The 23,078-nt window shown below is 41.6% G+C and overlaps 1 long non-coding RNA gene across 1 annotated transcript in view, besides 1 other annotated feature; it reads right to left on the reverse strand.

Annotated features, from left to right (window-relative positions):
• Positions 1-23,078, reverse strand: part of LOC107985962 (uncharacterized) — a 243,604-nt gene that overhangs the window by 179,375 nt on the left and 41,151 nt on the right. The window contains exon 2 of the long non-coding RNA XR_007087312.1: positions 10,889-10,967. This is a non-coding gene — a long non-coding RNA (uncharacterized LOC107985962). The remainder of the gene's footprint in view (positions 1-10,888; positions 10,968-23,078) is intronic.
• Positions 12,232-13,431: an enhancer, noted in NCBI's record as "CDK7 strongly-dependent group 2 enhancer chr2:176651769-176652968 (GRCh37/hg19 assembly coordinates)". NCBI's record gives its function as "activates an origin of replication core promoter dependent on BRD2, BRD4, P300/CBP, MED14 and CDK7 cofactors, with strong dependence on CDK7, by STARR-seq in HCT116 cells {active_cell/tissue: HCT116}" and the evidence as "EXISTENCE:reporter gene assay evidence [ECO:0000049][PMID:35650434]".

Genomic DNA, 23,078 nt, shown 5'->3' on the forward strand with positions numbered 1-23,078 from the left:
AATGTTTCAGAGCAAACCTTGTCTAGAAAGGAGAAAAAAAGTAGGTAGCACAACTCTCTACTTGAACTGGGTCCAGTAAATCTCAGAAGTGATAACAGGTAAAACAGAGGATTACTAAACTGAATTCAAATTCTGTTTTATAGGAAAATTAAAACTAGTGTTAGAAACTACCATAAGTCCTACCACCTTCCTCAAAGATTCTAAAACACACTCTGTGCTTTTGTTCAATGCAAGTTTTGGTGTTAATGTTTCAGCCACAAATATGAAGAGATTTTGCAGTTCATCCTCAAATAGAGCTCTGCAGGATTCCAGGGAGACTCTATATTTTACTTGTCCTCCTCCGCATCAACAGGGTTCCCACCCTACACCCTCTACAAAGGGACGTCCATGTTTTGCTTCAGGGAGGGCCCTGTTACTAAGTCTTTACCTAAACCCATGCACTCTGGTGAAGCACTATCTTTAGGTATCAAGGCCATTTCAGATGATTTCCATGGAATGTTCTAGGATGGAGCCACCAAGTTCTCCAGTTTGCCTGCTTCTAATTTAGGACTGAGGCTGTATTTTCTACATCTGGTTCTTCCCTGTGGGTCAGCCATTTCTGGCTGTAGCTTTAACATCCTCTGTCTGCCCTGTCAATAAACTGTATGCCTTGGTCCCTTTTGTGAGAAAAGTCATATCTTGTTTGCAATAAAATATGAAAATGGGTTCTCTTCATTATGTAGAAACATTATGTGGAAACTTTCATGTGTTCCCTTCATTATATACCAGGAAGCTGGGTGCAATATCACTGAACACAGTGGTTTCCTTAGCAGCAGAAGTTAAGGATCCTAATATTTAGTCTCGTCCCCCTCAACATGAACTAGATTATCATTGTCACAGATTTTGCTGGTCTTAGGAATGTTGAGCCCTTTATATGGTTTTCAAATGCCATGTTGAAATGTGACCTCCAATGTTGGAGGTAGGTCTAGTGGGAAGCGACTGGTTTGTGGGGGTGAATCCCTCACGAATGGCTTGGTGCACTCCCCATGGTAATGAGTGTGTTCTCAGTCTGTGAGTTCATGCAAGAGCTGTCGTTTAAAAGAACCTGACATCTCTCTTGCTCCCTCTTTTGCCATGTGATGCACCTGTTACCCCTTTGCCTTCCATCATCAGTGGAGGCTTCCTGAGGCCTCACAGGAAGAGTATGCTGGCACCATGTTGGTACAGTCTGCAGAACTGAGCCAAAGAAACCTCTTTCCTTTATAAATTATCCAGCCTCAGGTATTCCTTTATAGCAATGCAAAATGGACTAATACAGCCCTACATTACCTTCCTGCCTGCTGGTCAGTTAGCCTTATCTTCAATAGTTCCAGAGGCAGAAATCTCTTGAAGCAGCTCATCTTGCTTTTAGCTCCAGAAAGATCTTCCTTACAGAGTCAAAGTGTTTTCCTGTAACTTTTAGTCATTTGTTCCAATACTGCTTTCTGAAGCATCATGTCATGATCATGTTTTCCTATACCTCATGGTCCCCTAAAGGGCTGAAGGCCTTTCTTAGAGCTCATTCTCTTCCTCCCCATCCCACCAGCCTCGTCCTCTCTAAACGAAATATAATTTGTCCTTCAATGTTCTAGACTCTAACCTTCTATTTGTCCCTTTTGGGAACACTTCCTTTTGTAAATTCCCATTGAAACAGTCTTTTCAGCACAAACCCCAATAGCCCATGTGTAACATGACAAGCACAGAGAGGTCGCAGTGACTCTTCTCTGATATGGATGCTGTACCAGATGTAGCCCACAGTCCTTGTGTGGTGTTTATCTGTCCTACCACACACCGAGGCCCCGTCACATGCTGGGAAGAGCAGCAGCCTCTGGAGGATAGGGAGCAAGACCACCAGGTTCTCTGGAAGAAACCAGCGCTGGTCTGGCACCCATGCTCATTGGTTCCATCCAACTCCAGCACTTCTCTTGAACAACAGTCAAGGGGGATCATTGGTCAAAAGTTCTTGAAGACAGCAAAAAAGAAGGTTGTGAAAAACTGAGCTCTCTTAGGAGACTGACCCATCAATAGAGTCAACGTGCTATTTTATAGATCCTGGAGTAAACTTAACCATAAATTCATGTAGCACCAGACACAGATAATGCGTAAATGAAACAACGGTGTGTTTTTATCCTGCCTCATTACAAAATGGGTGAATCCTTTATTTAGCAGTTGCTATGAGAAATATCTATTTTAGTCCTTTCCAGAATTACTGCTTCTTAATGATCCCACATTATTCACTGATTGAGCCAATGGTCCCACAGACTAAGGTAAGCTCGTTGCCCCTACGACTGGACCCCTGAGCCTATCTTGAGAAAGTGGTACAACTTCACAGAGGCTTACCATAAATTCATTTTCTTCCACACCAACTAAGGCTTTAAAATAATGTATATTCACACCCACTTGGGTGGTTACTATAAAAAATAAAACAGAAGACAAAAGTGTTGGTGAGGATGTGGAGAAACATTCAATACTGGGAGAATGGATGAACTAAGACTGTGAGGGTACAAGAGGAGCTGAAAGGAGAGAAAGTATAGTCACAGAATGTATTCATTTGTTTTCACACTGCTGATAAAGACATACCTGAGACTGGACAATTTACAAAGGAAAGAGGTTTAATGGAGAACTCACAGTTCCACATGGCCGGGGAGGCCTCACAATCATGGTGGAAGGTGAGGAAGAGCAAGTCACATCTTACATGGATGGCAGCAGGCAAAGGGAGAGCCTGTGCAGTCAAACTCCTGTTTCTAAGACTTCAGATGTCATGAAACTTATTCACTATCATGAGAACAGCACAGGAAAGACCCACCCCCGTGATTCAATTCACTGAGTCCCTCCCACAACACATGGGAATTATGGGAGGGATAAGATGAGATTTGAGTGGGGACACAAAGCCAAACCATATCACAGGACAAAGCTGGATTTAAATGCCACAGAGAGATGACTCCTGGTGCAGCCATGGATGTGAGTGCTGGAGTGGAGGACAGATGCAGGCCATTCGAGTCATGAAGGTAGGGAACAAGAGGAGAGGGCAGTGGATATGAAGCCTCATTCTCATTGGGGGAGTTTTAAAAAAATACTGACTGACACCCATGTTCTATCCCCAGCAATGCCCATGGGTCTGGGCAATGAGGTATATTTTGTTTCTTGTTTTTTTTTAGTTGTAAAATATGTGTAACATAAAATATTCTATTTTAACCATTTTTAAATTTACAGTTCTGTGGCATTCAGACCATTCACATTGTTGTGCAACTATCACCATCAGCTATCTCCAGAACTTTTTTGTCTTCCCCAACTGAAACTCCATACCCATTAAACAATGACTTCCCATTCCACCCGCCCCCCAACATCCCAGGCCCCTGGAAACCAACATTCTACTTTCTGTCTCTATGAATTTGACTATCGTAGGAACCTCATTCTAGGTACCTCAAACCTGATATTGTTTGAAAACTTCCTTGATGAGTCTAATATGCAGCCACTGTTAAGAAGTATTGTGCTATGATGCTGGCTGTTTCAACTATGTGGACCATGAAGTTCCCTGGGGCCATGCCAATCCTTGGAGACAGGAAGAAGATTATGAGGCAGATAAAGTCTTCAGTAAATAAGCTACATGAAAATCATGATGGAAAAAGGGTAGCAGAAACCTCAAAAGGGTCAGGTTGTTATATAAAGCACAGGGGTGCTAGGCTGGAAATGTGAGCCAAGATGGCATAAAGATTTCAACCCAAGTCTGATTGCAAAGTCCAGCTTCCTTCTGTTATACCAGTGGTTCTTTCATTCAATAAATATTTGTTGAGTACCTGTGATGTGCTAAGCAGTGTCCTAGGCACAAATTTCCTGTTCACATGGAGTTTATATTCTGTCAGGGAGTCAGATAATGAACCTGAGAATAAATAGATCAATACGAATTTTAAGTAGTAAAATGAAACAGAGTAATGAGGTAGAGAGTGAGTTGGGTCATTGAGAAAGGCTTTTCTGAGGAAGCGATCCTCCAGGGAAGCCTGAATGGTGAAACAGAGGCCATGATGTCAAGTGCAAAGGCCCTGAGACAGAAATAAGTTTGGTGCACTCAAAAAACCAAAAGAAAGCCTGGGTAGCTAGCACATGGGAGTGAGAGAGTGAGCTGTGAGCTGAGATAGCTGGGAACCAGATGAAGCTCTTGTAGGCCAAGGAAAGAAATTGGGGATCAATTGTCCTTGTAGAAAGATGCTATTCAAGGGTATCAAAAATCAGATTGGCTGCCTTAAGAAGAAGGAACAAGGGGCAAAAGTAGAAGTAGGGAGACCAATGAACACCATTGCAGTAGCTCAGAGAAGAGATAGTGCTGGCTTAGACTAGGATTAGTGGCAGTGGCAATGGTGAGAAGTGGCAGAATCATATCTTTCATAGGTAAAGCCAGCATAGGATTTGAGGGAAAGAGGAGTAACTCCTAGGTTTAGGCCAAGCATCTGGATGGATGATGGTGCCATTTACTGAAGGAAGAGGAGGTTTTGAGGGGATAAAAAAATTCCACTGGGGTCAAGTTAAGTTGAAGATGCTTATTAGATATCCATAGAGATGTTGAAAAGTGTTGTGTATACAAGTCTAGAATTCAGGGGAGAAGTCAGGTCTAAACTTACAGACTTGTGAGTGTGCTTAAGCATCACTTGGAGAGTTGTTAAAAATGGTGATTCTCAGCCTCCACCCCTGGGGATTCTCTTAAGTAATTCTGGGGAGGGTGGGGTTGCACTTCTAATTCGCTCAAATTTGATGGTTCCCTTAAATCCTGCACTCTACCATTCCACTTCCTCTGGTTGAGGTTAATCCACTAAACAGCTCTTTAGCCACTTAACTATATATATATTTTTTCCATCTTATTCAAATATTTTTCATTGTTTTATGTAAATATATAGTATTAAATTATTATCAATATGTTCTAATATATTATTTATTATAAATATAACCATATATTAATATATTACATGAATGCATTGATCTAATGATTACATATAAATTTATTTCTCATATTTTTCATCTCAGTCACAAAATGAGAGATACTTCCTTTAAAAGCCTTTAAAGGAAGTTGGCCTACTTTATCTCTGGAATTCCCTTATCTGTCTAACTTGAGAAAGAAAGAAAGAGAGAGAGTGAAAGGTGAAGAGTTGGTTGCACTGAAATGAATTATTTTTATTGTGAGTCCATGTGCTTCCCAAATCAACAAGACTTTGTCTACTTCTGGGGGTTCATATACCACGTTAGAATCCACTCCAAAATTAAGCAGAAGATCATCAATCTTAGTCTTCTATATTTGTCAGAATTCTCTTTTTTGATATCAAGACAGAATAGTCCTACAATCTTCGGACCATCTGCCATTCTCCATCATTTCTCAAAAATGGCTGACTGCTTCTATTAACTCCATCTCACAGTTGCAAATTATTTCCCCTCAGTGCTGGATGCTCTGACTGAGCCAATGCAGTTTATCTGAGAGCTGACTTACTTGCCTCTCACAGCATTCAGCAGCCTGCTGGGCTTGCCTATCTGAAGACCATTCTCCTTAACAGGAACTTGGAAGCCTCACAGGACAAGACTCTGTTTGCTCTGGGGCAGGTCTTCCCACTCAGCCAGGGGACCATTCTTTTTGTTCCCCATCCACCCCCCAACTCCAGAAAAAGTCCTTTTTCATCGTTCTTTCTGTTTTGGACTGTACTGAGGTATTATTTGATTTAGTTGGGTTTTTCTTTGTTTTGTGTTGGTTTTGCAAACCCCAGATCCACTCCCAACTTTAGTCCTCCTGTCACAATTTCCACAGCATCATCACATTTTTAAGTGTACTTTTGGCTGTGCGACCCTCTTCTCATTTTGTGTGCCTGTCTTTTTAATAGACCTCTAACTTCTAGGCACCTACCTATGTTCATTATCTCACCAAAGCAGATGTTTTAAGGTACCCTTATTCCAGAGTGAACATTTACAAACCATTATGGGGTGATTGATGGGTACAGGTTTCCATATATGCCAGCCGATCAGGAAGTCTGCCACAAGGCTGTTCTCATTATTCAACAGTCTTTGTGGCTATTTCGATTACTGCTCAGGTGAGGTCAGGGGTAGATATGACTCAGGTCCACGACAACTGACCTCAATATCTCTCCAAGGCTGGTTTAATGGTTAAGATAAAAGGAATTCTGGAAACAAAGTTCCAGGAGATTTTGTGGTAGAATAAATGATGGTGGTGAATAGGGACATGCACTTGCCATTAAAAGTGGCATGTTTATGGGGTGCTGACAGAGTTTATGGGGTGCGTGCCTTCAGGTACCAGCCAGACCCATGCTTTTCCTAATGCTTTCAGCCTTTTCCCAAAGGTTTGGACAACACAGCTGGACAAAGCTGCCAGGGGAATTCCTCAAGTTGAAGGTTGCTTTTATGTTTTACCAATGTTCCCTTCCACTGTCAGCACTAGAGCATGAGAAGGCATTCTCTTCAGATATGACCCTGGGATCAGGACTGCCACCCCACACAACTCTGGAGGGCCTCATGCACATGGAATTCTATGTTGCATCCCAGAGAACGCACTCCTACAAACCAGAGTAAGAATGGCACCCCCTGGAGCCATGGCACCCCCTGGAGCCGTGCTATCCAGAGGCCCTGCAAGGACCCCAGCCTTATGCCACATCTCTTACCGTGGCCCCTGCCATATTATGCAGCTCAGTCAGCTACTGAACATAAAAGCACTTCACCACAGAGAGTCAGTGCCATAGTACAGGTTCTACGAGGCAGCTGTAACAACAACTTCCATGGAAATAGTATTTTACATTTCTTTGAGTGCACCTGGTCACGGCCACACGCCTTAAAAAATTCCTCTGTGGCAAGCATGGTAAAGCAGACATGGTTGCCCTATTTTATCCTCTCTGAAGACAGCTTTGGAGAAGTTAATTCTTATTCAAGGCTACAGAGTTCTGTGGCCTTAGGCCTGGATTTCTCCTTCTGCATCCAATGCTCCTTCCATTATCCCTTGCTGCCAAGTTTGGACTAGTTGAATGCAGAACTCTGATTCTATTTTAGACCTAGTATGTTGAATCTTTGTTCTCTGAAATTCTACCAATTATATTTCAGTCCTTTAATTAAGATCTTGGATTTTTATTAAGACGTCAATTCTTGACTTCACCTCCTTATCTTCCTTGGTTCTTATATGATTTAAGACCTCTGTAACTCTGTGTAGCAAAAAACCCAGCTTGATCCAGGCTTTTTGTTTTGTTTTGTTTTGTTTTTTAACAAAACGGGGGATAATGGAGTATTTCATTGAGCTCAAAGTATAGAATGCAGCTGGGTCTCAAAAGTAAGCTGAAAGGAAGAATTGGTCTCTGCATTTCTGTGCATATGTTTTATTCCTTCTGAGTAGATTGTTTTACTCTACCTCTCAATCCTCATGGTGAAAGAGTCATCAAGGCCTTCAGAGATTTATGTACTGAAATGCAGTTGTTTCAAAATGATCCATCTGTTTCCATCTGTCCCAACTCTAACTCTGCCTGAGAAGTGAGTAAGTGGCCCAGCTTTGGTCAAGTGTCTATCACTGAACAAATCTGGTATAGCTAGGATGGGCAAAGTTATGTACATATACAGTTGTTCCTGGTACCTGAGGGGGATTGGTTCTGGAACCCCCAAGGACACCAAAATCCTTGGATGTTCCAGATCCTTATATAAAATGGCATTATATTTGCATATAATCTATACACATCCTCCTGCTTTTTTTTTTTTTGAGATGGAGTCTCGCTCTGTCGCCAGGCTGAAGTGCAGTGGTGTGATCTCAAATCACTGCAACCTCTGCCTCCCTGGTTCAAGCAATTCTCCTGCCTCAGCCTCCCAAGTAGCTGGGACTACAGGCATGCGCTACCAGGCCCAGCTATTTTTGTATTTTTAGAAGAGACGGGGTTTCACCATGTTGGCCAGAATGGTCTCAATCTCTTGACCTTGTGATCCTCCTGCCTCGACCTCCCAAAGTGCTGGGATTACAGGCATGAACCACCGCACCCGGCCTCCTCCTGCACATTTTAAATAACCTCTAGATTACTTATAATACTTAACACAATGTAAATGCTATGTAAATAGTTGTTACACTGCATTGTTTTTATTTGCATTATTTTTTATTGTGGTATTGTAATATTTTACTGTTTTTCTCCCCCAAATATTTTCGATACATGATTGGTTTAATCTACAGATACAGCACCTGTAGTAACAGAAGGCCAAGTGTATGGACACCGCATGGCAGGTCCCCAAAACTGGGAAGCAGCAGGGAGTGAAGGTTGGAAGCGGGCCTTGACAAGGTCCCCATGGCCAGAAATATACCTAACTAAGCCCCTGCCCTTTGTGCTCAGGGTGGGCCTATACCAGGCTTCACCCCTGTGTAGAGCTCCATTCAAATTCTTATGCTGGGTTCCAATCTGGGCCCTCTTGCCTGCCCATATCACATTTTCTCTACCCTGCCCCACTAATCTTGTTTTATCCTGTGCTGACTGAATTCAATTTTCCTTCTGGCCAAGCATGCAGACAATACCCGTAAGGACTCCATATTCTCAAACCTACCCTCCTCCACTGGGTTTGTATCCCAAGGCCACTTGGTCATCGCTCAACAACAGGCTCTCTGCAGTACCACTCAACATGAATGAGATTGTGGAATCCACTCCAGCCCCTCCAGTACTTCCAGTATGCAGTATGGCCCAGCTGGCCATAGGTCAATGGTTTTATTTCACCCTCCAAATAATCTTTCCCTCATCTTATTTCTCACTTCCCTCCCTTTACACTCTCATTCTACTTTCACTCGTGCATCCTACACTCACTGCATACCTCCCCCAATCTATACCCTTTCCACCTTCCTGTGTTACTATTGCATTGACTTATCTGTCAATTTCTAGCCAATCATAACATCATCTTTCTCGAAACCCACATTCTTAGCCTACATTATTTTTGCTATTCTTTTTATGCATACGTTTAGGGAGAGCAGTTAGTGCTCTCTACAAACTCACTAAAACAGACAAATGCCCTTAGAAGAAAATGACAATTCTCAAAGTATACATTAATGAAACTCAAAAAATTCCAATTTTCATCAACCCATACAAATTGATAGTAAAGTTAATTTGGAAGAGGAAATACTTAGGATACCTGAGAAATTTTTGTAAAATAAATTTGAGAGGGGAATTTGTGTTACCAGATTCAAATATATTTTAAAGCAACTCTAACTAAAACAACAGAGTATTGTTATAAATAGATTAATGAAACAGAAGGTACATAAACAGGCTCATGAATATATGGGTAGTTAGCGACTTAAAATTAGTAAGGCAGCCGGGCGCGGTGGCTCACGCCTGTAATCCCAGCACTTTGGGAGGCTGAGGCGGGTGGATCATGAGGTCAGGAGATCGAGACCATCCTGGCTAACAAGGTGAAACCCCGTCTCTACTAAAAATACAAAAAATTAGCCGGGCGCGGTGGCGGGCGCCTGTAGTCCCAGCTACTCGGGAGGCTGAGGCAGGAGAATGGCGTGAACCCAGGAAGCGGAGCTTGCAGTGAGCCGAGATTGCGCCACTGCAGTCCGCAGTCCGGCCTGGGCGACAGAGCGAGACTCCGTCTCAAAAAAAAAAAAAAAAAAAAAAAAAAAATTAGTAAGGCAAGGAGGGCTGACTCATTAAATGATGTGGAGGCCATCAGGAACCGTTTGGAGAGGAATAAGTTAGACTCTTATCTCACATAAGACCCCAAGACAAAATGATGATTTATTAAAGAGTTCAATATTTTTAAAAACCTGATAGCTGCTAGAAGTAAATATAGGAGAATATGTTTATCATCTTGGAGTGGAAGATATTTTTCTTATCAGCACACAAAGGTAAAAAACCATAAAGGATAAGATTAATAGATTTTACCAAAAAATATAGAACTTCTGTATGATACCATATGTCATAGAGTAAAAAAATTTTAGAAAATTATTTTCAGCTTCTAGCATAAACAATATATAAAAAGTATGTATGGCTTAGTAAGGAAGGTGTAAAAACTCCAGTTGAAAATAAGAAAAGGAAATTAAAAAAGAATTTTTTAAAAAAGAACATATATAACTACATGAAAAGATGACCGATCATTATTAATCCAAGAAATAACAAATTAAAAGTTAGTTTTATCTGAGCCTCTGACAAATATTGAAGGAACAGCTTAAACTTAAATGAAATGGCTGATATTCATACTGCAGTGTGGGTAAACAGCACTTTCACATATTATTGGTAAAACCAGAAAGAGGTGAATAATTTTAAAACAATTTTCTAACACACATCAATTTATCAGTTTGCTAATATATGTAAAAATTTTAATACCACTTTTAGGATTTTTTTTTTTTTTTTTTTTTTTTTTTTTTTTTTTTTTGAGACGGAGTCTCGCTCTGTCGCCCAGGCCGGACTGCGGACTGCAGTGGCGCAGTCTCGGCTCACTGCAAGCTCCGCTTCCCGGGTTCACGCCATTCTCCTGCCTCAGCCTCCCGAGTAGCTGGGACTACAGGCGCCCGCCACCACGCCCGGCTAATTTTTTGTATTTTTAGTAGAGACGGGGTTTCACCTTGTTAGCCAGGATGGTCTCAATCTCCTGACCTCATGATCCACCCGCCTCGGCCTCCCAAAGTGCTGGGATTACAGGCGTGAGCCACCGCGCCCGGCCCACTTTTAGGATTTTATCTTACAGAAATACTCTCATTAGCATCTAAAGATACATGGACCAAGATGTTCTCAGAAACATTATTTGTAAAACCAAATAACTGAAGGTTATTTAAACACATTTCAGTAGGAGAACAGTTAAATAAATTTTGGTCCAATCATACTACGGAATGCCAAAAAAAGAGTTAAAAAGATAGAGATAAATGTGTACTTACTGCTCCTGAAGAGTGTCCATGATATATTGTTAAGTGAAAAAGCTAGGCATAAAACAGTATGCGTAGTACTGGTCCATTTCTGTAAAATAAGAATGTATTTGAATATGAATGGAAAAGAGCCTGCAATGATATACACGAAGCTGTTAACAGTGGTTATCTTGAGATGAGGAAATTATGTATTTACTTTATACATCTCTGTTATTTGAATGTTATAAGACAAGCTTATATTCTGTGTCTATTCAGAAAAAAAGTTTTGAAAAATATTTACTGAGTAAGTACCCCTGGCTCTCCATCTCTGGCCAGAGTCTACCATGTCATCCATCAGGGTCTTGAACTCAGTGATGGCTATGTGGAATCATCTTTCAATGGCTAAATCTGGGGTGCCCTTCAAATCTCCCAAATTCTTAAAAGATGCAAAAATAGTCATTGCACCCAAACAGTTCTTATAGTGAACCTGAAAGAGCTGCGCTATCAATTTTGCACAGGATAATGCCGATACATTTTGTTCTGTTCAAGTTTGGCAATTGTTGAAAACAACGTGTGTGTGTGTGCATGTGTGTGTATGCTAAGCAAACTTAAGAGGACTTGCCTTCCTTTTATCCCTGAAAGTCAAAAAGAGACTTAACAGGCCAAGAATCTTATATCAAGCACCTGAACTAACATTTGAGATCTGGGTCAAAAGGAGAATCGACTAATAGTTGGCATTTTTTCAAAGGTTTTTCAAGTGATGCCAAATAATTAGAATGAGATCATGTTAGAGGCATTCAGACAGAGTCCCTTTGGGGACAAGAGGCAGAGGATGGAGGAGGAGGACAAAGATCCTACCCTTTATTCCTCATCCCCACATTTGATTTTGTTTGTCATCAGTTGTCCCTTATTAGCATGGACTCTCCTTTTTCCATGGAAATTTATCTAATTTAATTGCAGAACATGCAAGACGGGCAATCCATCTTGCCCCACTGTCCATGTAAACAATACAGAAGGGTGGACTGTTTTCTCTAGCTATGTCTCTGGCAGCCTGTTCACTTTCAAATTAAAGGAATTAGAGGGTAAACATGGTAACCACAATTAAGATATTTTTAGAAACATAAAATCCTCTAGAAAACATGACACTAATACTGGTATTATGATTGAAGTTAGGAATTATGGTTATTAGAAGCTTTGCAGTTTAAGTGCCTCATAAATCTAATCGCCTCACACATCCACTAATTCTGTTGCTATATTTACTGCAGACATCTATGATGACAGACAGTACCTTTGAGAAGGGCCAGATAAACAAAATATTTTACATACTCAAGCTTCTCAGTGTCTAATGGATTCATATCATGGAGAGAAAAAGGCTTCATTAAAGGAACTGCACCAGGTGCTGAGAGCCGATTTACCATGGAGATTTGATCTGAGTTATCTTCTCCTATTTAATGGGAATACTGCTGTTTCACTCCCGGAGTCCTGAGCACAGAATGGACAGGGAGGGCCAGAGGAGGGGGTGGCAGGGTGCAGGGGAGGACATGGTAAGCTGACAACTCTGTAGATATGCAACTTTCCCCGACAACTTGGAAACTATCTGGAAGAAATATTATGTAAAACCTGGTGGCACGTGTTACATGTCCAGGATCCTTAGAATATCCATTGTTATTGGAAAGATTTCTCAACGAGGAGCGAATTGCACAAAGTAACCCCAGAATCCTCCTCTCCTGATGCAACTACGCTGTGGGTGCCTGCATGACCTTGAGAAGGAAACAAAATGAGGTAGGAAGTTATTATCACCAGACGTCAGAGCAGAGATGGAACCATTTTAGTATTATGGCTGACCTTTGGCCATTTCTTGAAATCAAATGCGATGCTTACTGCTGAAATCCTAATTTTATAGATTAAAATTTATGCCTGAGAATGTTACTGTGTGGTAGGTGGCAAATTAGGAACATTTTTAAGGCTATGAATTCCTTTTGGTTTTTCTTCCAGCACCATTGTAAATGCAGAAATACTGCCACAGTGGCTGAGACATGCCCAGTAGTCTTGCCTCCCAATCCCACACACCCACCACAAACTCTACTGGATTACTCACATTACCTGTGGGCAGAAATCACAACTTCTCAATCTTCCTAGCCCTTAAGAGAGTGGCCCTTTCACGTTTCAGACAATACATGTGATTAATGGAGAAGGCCACACAAGGGAACATGCCAGAGAGGGGGCATGCTACAGTCCTGACCACACTGACAATTCCAGCTTAGATTTTGAGTGTGTGTTTGTGAGCAGGAACAATGCTCGCCGCGTGTGTACATGTGTGTGAGTGCAGGGTGACAAGCTTCAGCAATCCAGGGAAAAATGATGGCATCTGGAACCAGGAAGAGGCCATGGGGAATACGTAAGCAAAAGAAGACAGATTAAAAGGACATTGAGAAAGTAGAATTGGCAGGACTTGGCTATTGTCTGGGTGTGCCAAGCAGAGGAGTGTGAGGAATCAAAGATGGCAGCTGGGTTTGTTTCTGGCTTCTGCAACTCATTACATGGTAGAAACAGGTTTGGGGAGAAAAATGATGGATTTAGTTATAAACATACTGAGCTTAAAATGTCTGTGGCTATCAAGATGGGGAAGACCAACAGTACTAATAAGGTACAAGAACAGCCAAAATAAAAATAAGAGAATGAAGCTGGGAAAAAAGAACAGAAAATTGATTTTTGTAGCTGAAGACTTGATGTACTTTTCTTATAATTAAAATACTGTTTTGGAAAGGAGAACAATGTAAGAAGTGCCAGAATGATGAACTCTTTGGGGACTAAGTGGCATGATTTTGCCTTAATTCCTAATAAACAGGTGAGTTTTCATTCTAGGCACCTTTACAAATAAGAATGCCATCCACTTAAATAACTGAGATTCTACCATCTAACAAAAGAAAACAAACAAAAATTTACAAAATAAACAAAATCAAAAGTATCTAAAGGAAAACTCTTGTGTTATGAGATTACCACAAACATTCTTATGAAGAATAAAATAACCACATATTTCATGTCATATTCCTTCAAAACGTTTTACTGATAGAAATAAAGAATAATCTTTGACCTTCTCTAAATATGTACAATTCTGATAGAAAAAATCAGGGTGTGGAGAAGGCCAGAGGCATGAATTATGCATGCCACATCATCACACTTGTTCCTCAATATAGAGCTGCAGCTGCTTTGTATGGAAAAAGAAATTAGAATGGAATAGATATTGAACAATTTTCTCCATAACTGGTTCTTACTCACCTTAAATGTAAAATTTTATTTAGCTTATTTCAAAGGGAGACATCCTTATTAAGGGAACACATTTACTGGCACCTGTTGGAAAGGATTTAATGCAAACAAGCCTGAAATAATTGAAGGAAAAGCACCTTCTGACTGTTCTCAGAAGAGCTTAGCAAAGAAGAGGATGGCAGGAAAGAATTACTTTATTATATTGATTTTCTTGGAGAAATCAAAGGAGGATAACTCAAATAGACCAATTCACTTTTGCCAAACTCAGTGGAAGCACGTAGACGAGCCATGAATTTACGTGTCAAAAACTGTTTGAAATCATTTAGTTGAACATGGAAGTCAGGATTTGCACATTATTACTCTAATAAAATAGCTAATACAAGAGGATATCTGGCTTCATTTGTACATACTCCCTGTTTTAAATGACTGCAAGTATAATGGGTGTAAGTTTGTCTAACAAAATGTTTACAGTCCAATCAGTTCATTAACCTGAAATATGAAGAGTGTGATGCGGTTATTGTGGTGCAATAACAAAGACACTGGAGCACAATAAAAGTAATTGGAATACAGTTCTCTCAAAGCTAAAATCTATTTCTCTTTCACAATGAGTAAAATATTTCAATTTTATAAAGACTTTCCCATAGTAGTTAACATTGGTCATGCATCTGGTGGTTTGTTGTCTTTTGTGGTACATCAAATAACATCACAAAAGTAATATTAATCTGTAATAAAATGACTTTACATTTACTTCATTTACATTTATTTCACAAACATTCTTTATGAATATGAAAATTATTTAGTATTTACAGAATTCTAACTCTCCGATTCATTCTTCTGTCTATGACTACGAGAATCCATTTCAGCATTTTCCAAAGTGTGTCCCCTGAAACACTGTTTCCACAGGATGTCAAATGTATGTTACTCAAATAAATGGCACTTCCTAGTCAGATAGGAAGGAGAAAGACTGGGAAACAAAGTTAAATGGATTTCTCCATTGCAGAACTTCTCAGATCTTTTCATATATTCATGCACGTGGAAAATCTCCAAGAAAGTATATATACAGGCCACTGAGTTTCCCAAGTATTTTCACCTCTCAACCCTCTTTTCTTAATGAGCATCTTTTAGCAATGGCAATCTAGGAACCACTAACCTGTTTATTTTCATTATCTGGGCCAGGGGGCTTGAGTAATAAGTGAAATAGACAGGCATAAATGACAATAGGAAGTGGTTCAGTAGGGGTCGGGGATAGGGCACACCAAAGAGTAGTATCCAACTAACAGGGGCAGTTCTGACTCGGTTTTGATCACAGAAAAGCAGGATAGACATTTCAAATTTTTAAGAGCAGAAGAAAATTTGGATTTTTAAGTGGCTGAATTTGTTTTTAAAACTCTGTGGCCCAAAAGTGTCTGTTGCAAAATATGGACCTTGAGCCTCCTGATTTAGACTTGTGTCCTAGGATAGCACTTTCGAAACCCATTCTGCAAAACTTATTGTCCAGAAAAGCCACACCAAATAAAATCTTCTTTAGTTTGCTCAAGGTCATTGTACGTATAAGGCCACTGGTAATGACAGAGGTTGTCCGGTCACTCTGCTGGCCACTGTTAAAAACCAAGTTATGCAGGAATGACACTGGATCACCTCACTTCCTTGTGGCCTACAGATCAAAACATGCTGCCCAGATCTCTTTAAATGTGTCCTGTGAATATTAAAAGCACAATCAGGCTGGACACGGTGACTCATGCCTGTAACCCCAACACTTTGGGAGGCCAAGGTGGGTGGATCACGAGGTCAGGAGATCAAGACCATCCTGGCTAACACAGTGAAACCCCATCTCTGCTAAGAAAGAAAAACAAAAAATTAGTGGGTGTGGTGGATCGCACCTGTGGTCCCAGCTACTTGGGAGACTGCAGTGGGAGGATTGCTTGAGCCCAGGGAGGTTGAAGATGCAGTGAGCTATAATCATGCCACTGCACTCCAGCCTGGGTGACAGAGCAACACTCCATTAAAAAAAAAAAAAAAAGAATAATCAAAGTTGACTAGGAGAAAAGAACAAAATTGATAGTGAATGTATTAGTTTGTTAGGGCTGCCATAACAAATACCACAGACTGAGTGGCTTAAACAACAGAATTTTATTTCCTCATAGTTCTAGGGGCTAGTAGTCTAGGATCAAGGCCTCAGCAGGGTTGGTTTCTTCTGAGGCCTCGCCCCTTGGCTTGCAGATGGTCACCTTCTGGCCGTGTCCTCACATGGTTTTCTGTGTTGCCTGTGTCCTAATCCTAATTGCTTCCTTCAAAGACATCACTCAGATACACACCCCACCCTAATAACTTTTAGGGTTACTTTACTTTAATTACCTCTTTAAAGGCCTATTGACAAATACAGTCAAGGTCTGAGGTACTAGGAGTTAGGACTGTAACATATGAATTTTGGGAGAATGCAATTCAGCCCATAACAATAAATGACCTTACAAAGACAGAACCCAATAGATCTCTTTTTTTACTTGCATTTATTTTACAAAAATCACCTAAGATTACACAAATAAGAAAATGTAGACTGGGCGTGGTGGCTCATACCTGTAATCCCAGCATTTTGGGAGGCCAAGGCAGGAGGATCACTTGAGCTCAGGAGTTTGAGACCAGCCTGGGCAATACAGTGAGGCCAATGTCTACAAAAAAAAAACTTTTTTAATATCCAGATATGGTGGCATGTGCCTGTAGTCCCAGCTACTTGGGAGGCTGCAGTGGGAGGATTGCTTGAGCCAGGGAGTTTGAAGATGCAGTGAGCTATAATCATGCCACCGCAGTCCAGTCTGGGTGACACAGTGAGGCCCTGTCTCAAAAGGAAGAAAGAAAGAAAAGAAAAGAAATAAAGTGCAAAGCTTGCCACAGGAAAGTGAAACATTGAACTAAAATTGGTAAAGAAACGATTGGAAGATATTCTTGAAAAGCCAAGTGTTTTTAAAATCAACGTGGCCCACCAATACCTAACACAGGGCTTCAAAATATTGCTGACCGTAACATCCAGGTCTAACTAGTGATAGGTGAGAATTTCTAGACAGTGGGAGAACAAGGGAGAGAGGATGGTATGGCATGTGTATAGCATGTCCTGCAAATCACATAGCTGAGCTACACCAGAGAAAGTATCAATTCTATGCCAAATTCCCAGAAAGAGTAAAGGGGCAGGCTGGTAGCTAATAAAGTGTTGGGAAGGTTAAATCCTATCAGATGGGGCTTTGGCTTTTTTTGTTTTTTTAAGAGCATTGGCTTTCATTTTCTGTACAAATCATACTAACAGATTAGGAAGAAAAGCGGAGAGAGCAACAGAAACAATATACGTCGACTTCAGCGGGGCTGACAATTTTTGCTTAACAGCTTTTACAACACAGGCCGGACCCTATTGTTGGTTGTAGGGCTAGGCTCCAAAGAGTAATTTTAGTGGCTTGATGTCAGCATAAGGGCATTCCCAGAACACTAGTCCTTGGTCTGATATCTTAGCATTTTTATTAGCAAGTGCAATGACTCAATGGACATGCTGACTATGCAGCTGACAATACTTTAAGAGCAAGAGATTTGTTTGATAGAAGCCAGGAAACCAAAAAGTATGAAGGTAGTGTATTCAAAAGGTTCTCTTAGACTGGGAGAGACTTTGGGGATTTCTAGACCTACTGCCTTTAAGTGGAAATATAAGCGTAAGAGTGCTCTTTAAATGCATGACATACTTACAAAGAGTTGAAGCTTTTTTTTCTTCCATCTACCTAAGAGACTTGAGCCAATTTCAACTGGGTGGCGCAGCCTTATGGCCATGTCTTACATAGTTGTATAACTTAATAAGCATCCATTCTGGATCCCAACCTAAGACTGGTCCTTGGTTGTTGGATAAAATGCCCTCTGTGTATCTTAATTTCATTGAACATCTGGGATAAAAGGGGTCGTTCTTATAATACTTTATACATAAAATACCTTTCAGTTAAAGACTCCAAATACCCATGCACCTATAAAGTTATTATTTTGACTAGAGGCTGTAAGTGTGAGAACATTTCACATAAATAAGGTAGAGATGGATTCCTGGCCCACTTGAGCCTCAGATGTTGTTAATGTCATCAGAGTTATGTGTTTATCCTACAACAGCTGAACTCATGCCTTGGCAGGTCAAAAACCTTTCTGTGCACTTTTCAACCCACACTGAAGTTCTAATGTCTGGGAAAACACTCAGGAAAATATTATTTCCATTTGCAAATTTCCTTATGGTCACATTGTTATTTTGGCACAAGCAGGCAGAAATTAAATGTCTGTCAAATGCATATTACTGGCCTCACCAGCTAATGTATAATTCTGGCTTTGCCCTTTAATTTTTAGTAGGGCAACAAAGAATTGGTTTTAAACTTTCTTAAAGATCTGCCTTCACAAACTCTTAGGGAAACTCACAGATGTCAGGCTTATCCTGCAGATGGAAATCAAAACAGTCAAATCTTATCAAAATTGAAGGTCTGCCTAGAGAAAACATACTTCCCCCAACACACAAAAATGTGTGTCTTTCAACTCATGCCTCCCTCAGTTTGACTGCTACATAAGGTTTCCTTTACTAAATGAACATTTACTGAGCACCTCCTAAGCACTGGATGCTGTTAAACACTAGAGAAGGTACAAAGACGAATCAGACCAGGTGCCTGCATTCAATGTGCCCATAATCTGGGGGAAAAAACAAATACTAAAGAAAGTAATTATGATTCTATGAAAAGGGGACTTTAACAGAAGCAAGTGGCTGGTGTGCTGATAACATAGAGGAGACCATGCCTAACTGCCAGGAGGGTGGGGAAAGGAGAGACTTCTGTCTGCCTGGGAGCCAAAAGTCAGCAACTGGTTTTCACACTCTTGAGAGGGGGTTGGCAAACTGTGATGCACAGGCCAAATCCAAGCCACTTCTTGTTTTCATAAATAAAGCTTTATTGCAACACAGCCACGCCCGATCATGTACATATTATCTATGGTTACTTTTGAGCTGCAATGGCTGAGTTGAGTACTGAAGCTGTGTGGTAGGCAGAATAATGATCCCCCAAAACTGCTCACTCCCTAATACCTGGAACTCGTGGATATGTAATTTCACATGACCCAAACTAATTACATGAGTCTTTAAAAGCAGAGGACCTTTCTCCAGCTCTGGCCCACGAGACAGATGGCAGAATGAGAAGGATTTGATGTCCTAATGCTGGTCCCAAGATGTAGGAGGCTGCGTGCAAGAAACTGAGTTTTGCCAACTACTCCAGCAAGAAAATGCATCCTCCCTAGAGCCTCCAGGAAGGACAGCAGCCTTGATTTAAGCCCACTGAGACCCATGTTGACTCTGTTCTAAAGAACTGTAAGGTAAATTTCTGTTGTTTTAAGTCACTAACTGTGTTGATAATTTGTTAAAGCAGCAATAGAAAACTAACATAGATGAAAGTATGTGGCCCTGAAGCCTAAAATATTTATTCTTTACCCCTTTACAAGAAAAGTGTACCAACCCATGTTCCTGAATATGCCTGGTGTAGGGGTGGAAATGGCTCCATTCCTATCACAAAAGACAGGTTAACAAGAGAAAAATGTAACAAGTTTATTTAATCAAAGTTTTATGTGACATGGGAGGCTTCAGACATGAAAATCCAAAGAGGCAGGGAAACTGTCCATGTTTTTGCTTAGGTTCAATAAAAAATTGACAGGGTGTAGAAATGTAATTGGACAAAAGGATATAACCTAATAGTAATAAACTGGGGAAGAACACCCAGGAAAGTCTGTCTTCTAGATTCTTTGTGGCCTCTCTGTGTAGCAAGTCTTCCCCCCAGGCCTGTGGCAGGACCCCACTGGAATGGGAAAAGGGTAAGAGTGACCTTTCTAGGTTTTATGGCTTGCTTTGGGGAAAAGGGTTCTAATTTCTATGACCTGTCTCAGGGAAGAGGAATTCTGGTTTTTACTCATCACTTCCAGGGGAGAAAAAGGGGCAGGAGACAGGAGGGCAGGAGAAGGTCAGAACTTGCTTCTGAGACCTTCCAATGTCCTTCAGTTTAAAATATTCAGCATGCCAAAGTTCTGTACATTGAGGTATCATGTTCTGAGCCCCAACCCTGGCAAATATTCCAAGGATGTTTCAAAAGCCAGCAGCAGAAACTACTAATTGTCCCCCAGGATCTATTGTCTTTTTCTTCCTTTTAGTAACAGGACCCCATGCATAAATATGTTTTATAAGGGCTCATGAACACACAGCTACAGACTACATTTGTCAGCCCCCCTTGCAGCTAGGTTTACTCATGTTCCCAAGCTATTGCCAGTGGATTGTGACTAGAAGTGATGTGTGCAACTCTATGTCACTTCCTTAAAAGGAAATTGCTTACCTTCCATTTCCTCTGGTCCCTTTGCACATGCTAGAATTCAAACCTGGTGATGTTAAACCATCTTTGGCAATATGGATGAGGACAGTGCCCTGGGGACTGGTGAAACAATAAGATGAAGAGTATCTGAATCCCTGAATGTTCTTATGGAGTAGAGCTGCCTAACTACCCTGGATCCCACTACCTACCTCTGGACTGTTACATGAGAGAAGAACAAATTTTCGTTATCTGAGTCACTGTGTTCTAGGGTTTCTCTGTTTCAGCAACTCAATACTAGTACTGACTAGTACAGGGGAGCAGTCCCCTATCTTAGCATAGGATCAGAGAGAAAATAGTTCATCAATGGGCTGCTCTAATTCACAGCCATCATAGGTGCTTGGAACTTTCCCAAAACCCCATGAAACCTCTTGTGGAGACTTTAAAACATGGCTGCAAATTATTTGACATTCCTCCCATTGAGAGATGGGATCTATGTTCCTTCTCCTTGAGTCAGGGCAGGCTTGTGTCTGGGTTTTTTTTAGATGGAGTCTCGCTCTGTCACCCAGGCTGGAGTGCAGTGGTGCGACCTCAGTGCACTGCAACCTCTGCATCCCGGGGTCAAGCAATTCTCTTGCCTCAGCCTCCCAAGTAGCTGAGACTGCAAGCACACGCCACCACACCCGGCTCATTTTTGTATTTTTAGTACAGACAGGGTTTCACCTTGCTGGCTAGGTTAGTCTCAAACTCCTGACCTCGTGATCTGCCCATCTCGGCCTCCCAAAGGGCTGGGATTACAGGCGTGAGCCATGGTGCCTGGCCTTGTGTCTGTTTTGACACATAAAGTATGCCACAAGTGGTGTTAGTTACTTCACAGGCTGGGTCATAAAAGGTCATGCTGCTTTTATGCTGTTAGCTGGAACTTTCACACATGGAACCCTAAGCCACCATGTTTGAAGTCCGGCTACCCTGGGCCCACCATGCTGGAGTGGTGATATGGTTTGGCTGTGTCCCCACTCAAGTCTCATCTTGAATTCCCACATATTGTGGGAGGGACCGGTAGGAGGTAATTGAATCATGGGGACAGGTCTTTCCCATGCTGTTCTCCTGATAGTGCATAAGTCTCACAAGATCTGATGGTTTTAAAAAAGGGAGTTTCCCTGCACAAGCTCTCTTCTCTTGTCTGCCACCATATGAGATGTGCCTTTCACCCTCTGCCATGATTGTGAGGCCTCCTCAGTCATGTGGAACTGTGAGTCCGTTAAAACTCTTTCTTTTGTAAATTTCCCAGTCTCAGATATGTCTTTATCAGCAGCATGAAAATGAACTAATACAGTAAATTGGTACCGGGAGTGGGGTGCTACTGAAAAGATACCCAAAAAGGTGAAAGCAACTTTGGAACTTGGTAACAGGTAGAGATTGGAACAGTTTGGAGGGCTCAGAAGAAGACAGAAAAATGTGGGAAAGTTTGGAACTTCCTAGAGACTTATTGTATGGCTTTGACCAAAATGCTAATAGTGATATGGACAATGAAATCCAGGCTGAGGTGATTTCAGATGGAGATGAGGAACTTGTTGGGAACTGGAGCAAAAGTGACTCTTGTTATGTTTTGGCAAAGACACTGGTGGCATTTTGCTCCTGCCCTGGAGATTTGTGAAACTTTGAACTTGAGAGAGATGACTTAGGGTATCTGACAGAAGAAATTTCTAAGCAGCAAAGCATTCAAGAGATGACTTGCGCACTGTTAAGGCATGCCATTTTAAAAGGGAAACAGAGAAAAAAAGTTTGGAAAAATTTGCAGCCTGACAATGCGATAGAAAAAAAAAATCCCATTTTCTGAGGAGAAATTCAAGCTGGCTGCAGAAAGTTGCGTAAGTAACAAGGAGCTGAATGTTAATCGCCAAGACGATGGGGAAAATGTCTCCAGGGCATGTCAGAAACCTTTACGGAAGGCCCTTGCATCGCAGGCCCAGAGGTTTAGGAGGAAATAATAGTTTTGTGGGCCGGGCCCAGCGTCCCTCTGCTGTGTGCAGTCTAGGGACTTGGTGCCCTGTGTCCCAGCCATGACTAAAAGGGGCCAAGGTACAGCTCAGGCTGTTGCTTCAGAGGGTTGAAGCCCCAAGCCTTGGCAGCTTCCATGTGGTGTTGAGCCTGTGGGTGCACAGAAGTCAAGAACCTCCACCTAGATTTCAGAGGATGTATGGAAACGCAGGGGCAGTGCCCTCATGAAAACTTCTGCTCCAGCAGTGCGGAAGGGAAATGTGAGGTTGGAGCCCCCACACAGAGTCCCTGCTGGGGTACTGCCTAGTGGAGCTGTGAGAAGAGGACCACTGCTCTCAAGACCCCAGAATGGGAGATCCACCAACAGCTTGAACCGTGTGCCTGGTAAAGCCACAGACACTCAATGCCAGCCCATGAAAGCAGCCAGGAAAGGGACTATACCCCACAAAGCCACAGGTGCAGAGGTGCCCAAGGCCACGGGAGGCCACCTTTTGCATCAGCATGACCTAGATGTGAGACATGGAGTCAAAGGAGATCATTTTGGAGCTTTAAGATTTGACTGCCCTGCTGGCTTTTGGACTTGCATGGGGCCTGTAGCCCCTTTGTTTTGGCCAATT

This window comes from Homo sapiens, chromosome 2, assembly GCF_000001405.40.
Source record: "Homo sapiens chromosome 2, GRCh38.p14 Primary Assembly".
Lineage (NCBI taxonomy): Eukaryota > Metazoa > Chordata > Mammalia > Primates > Hominidae > Homo > Homo sapiens.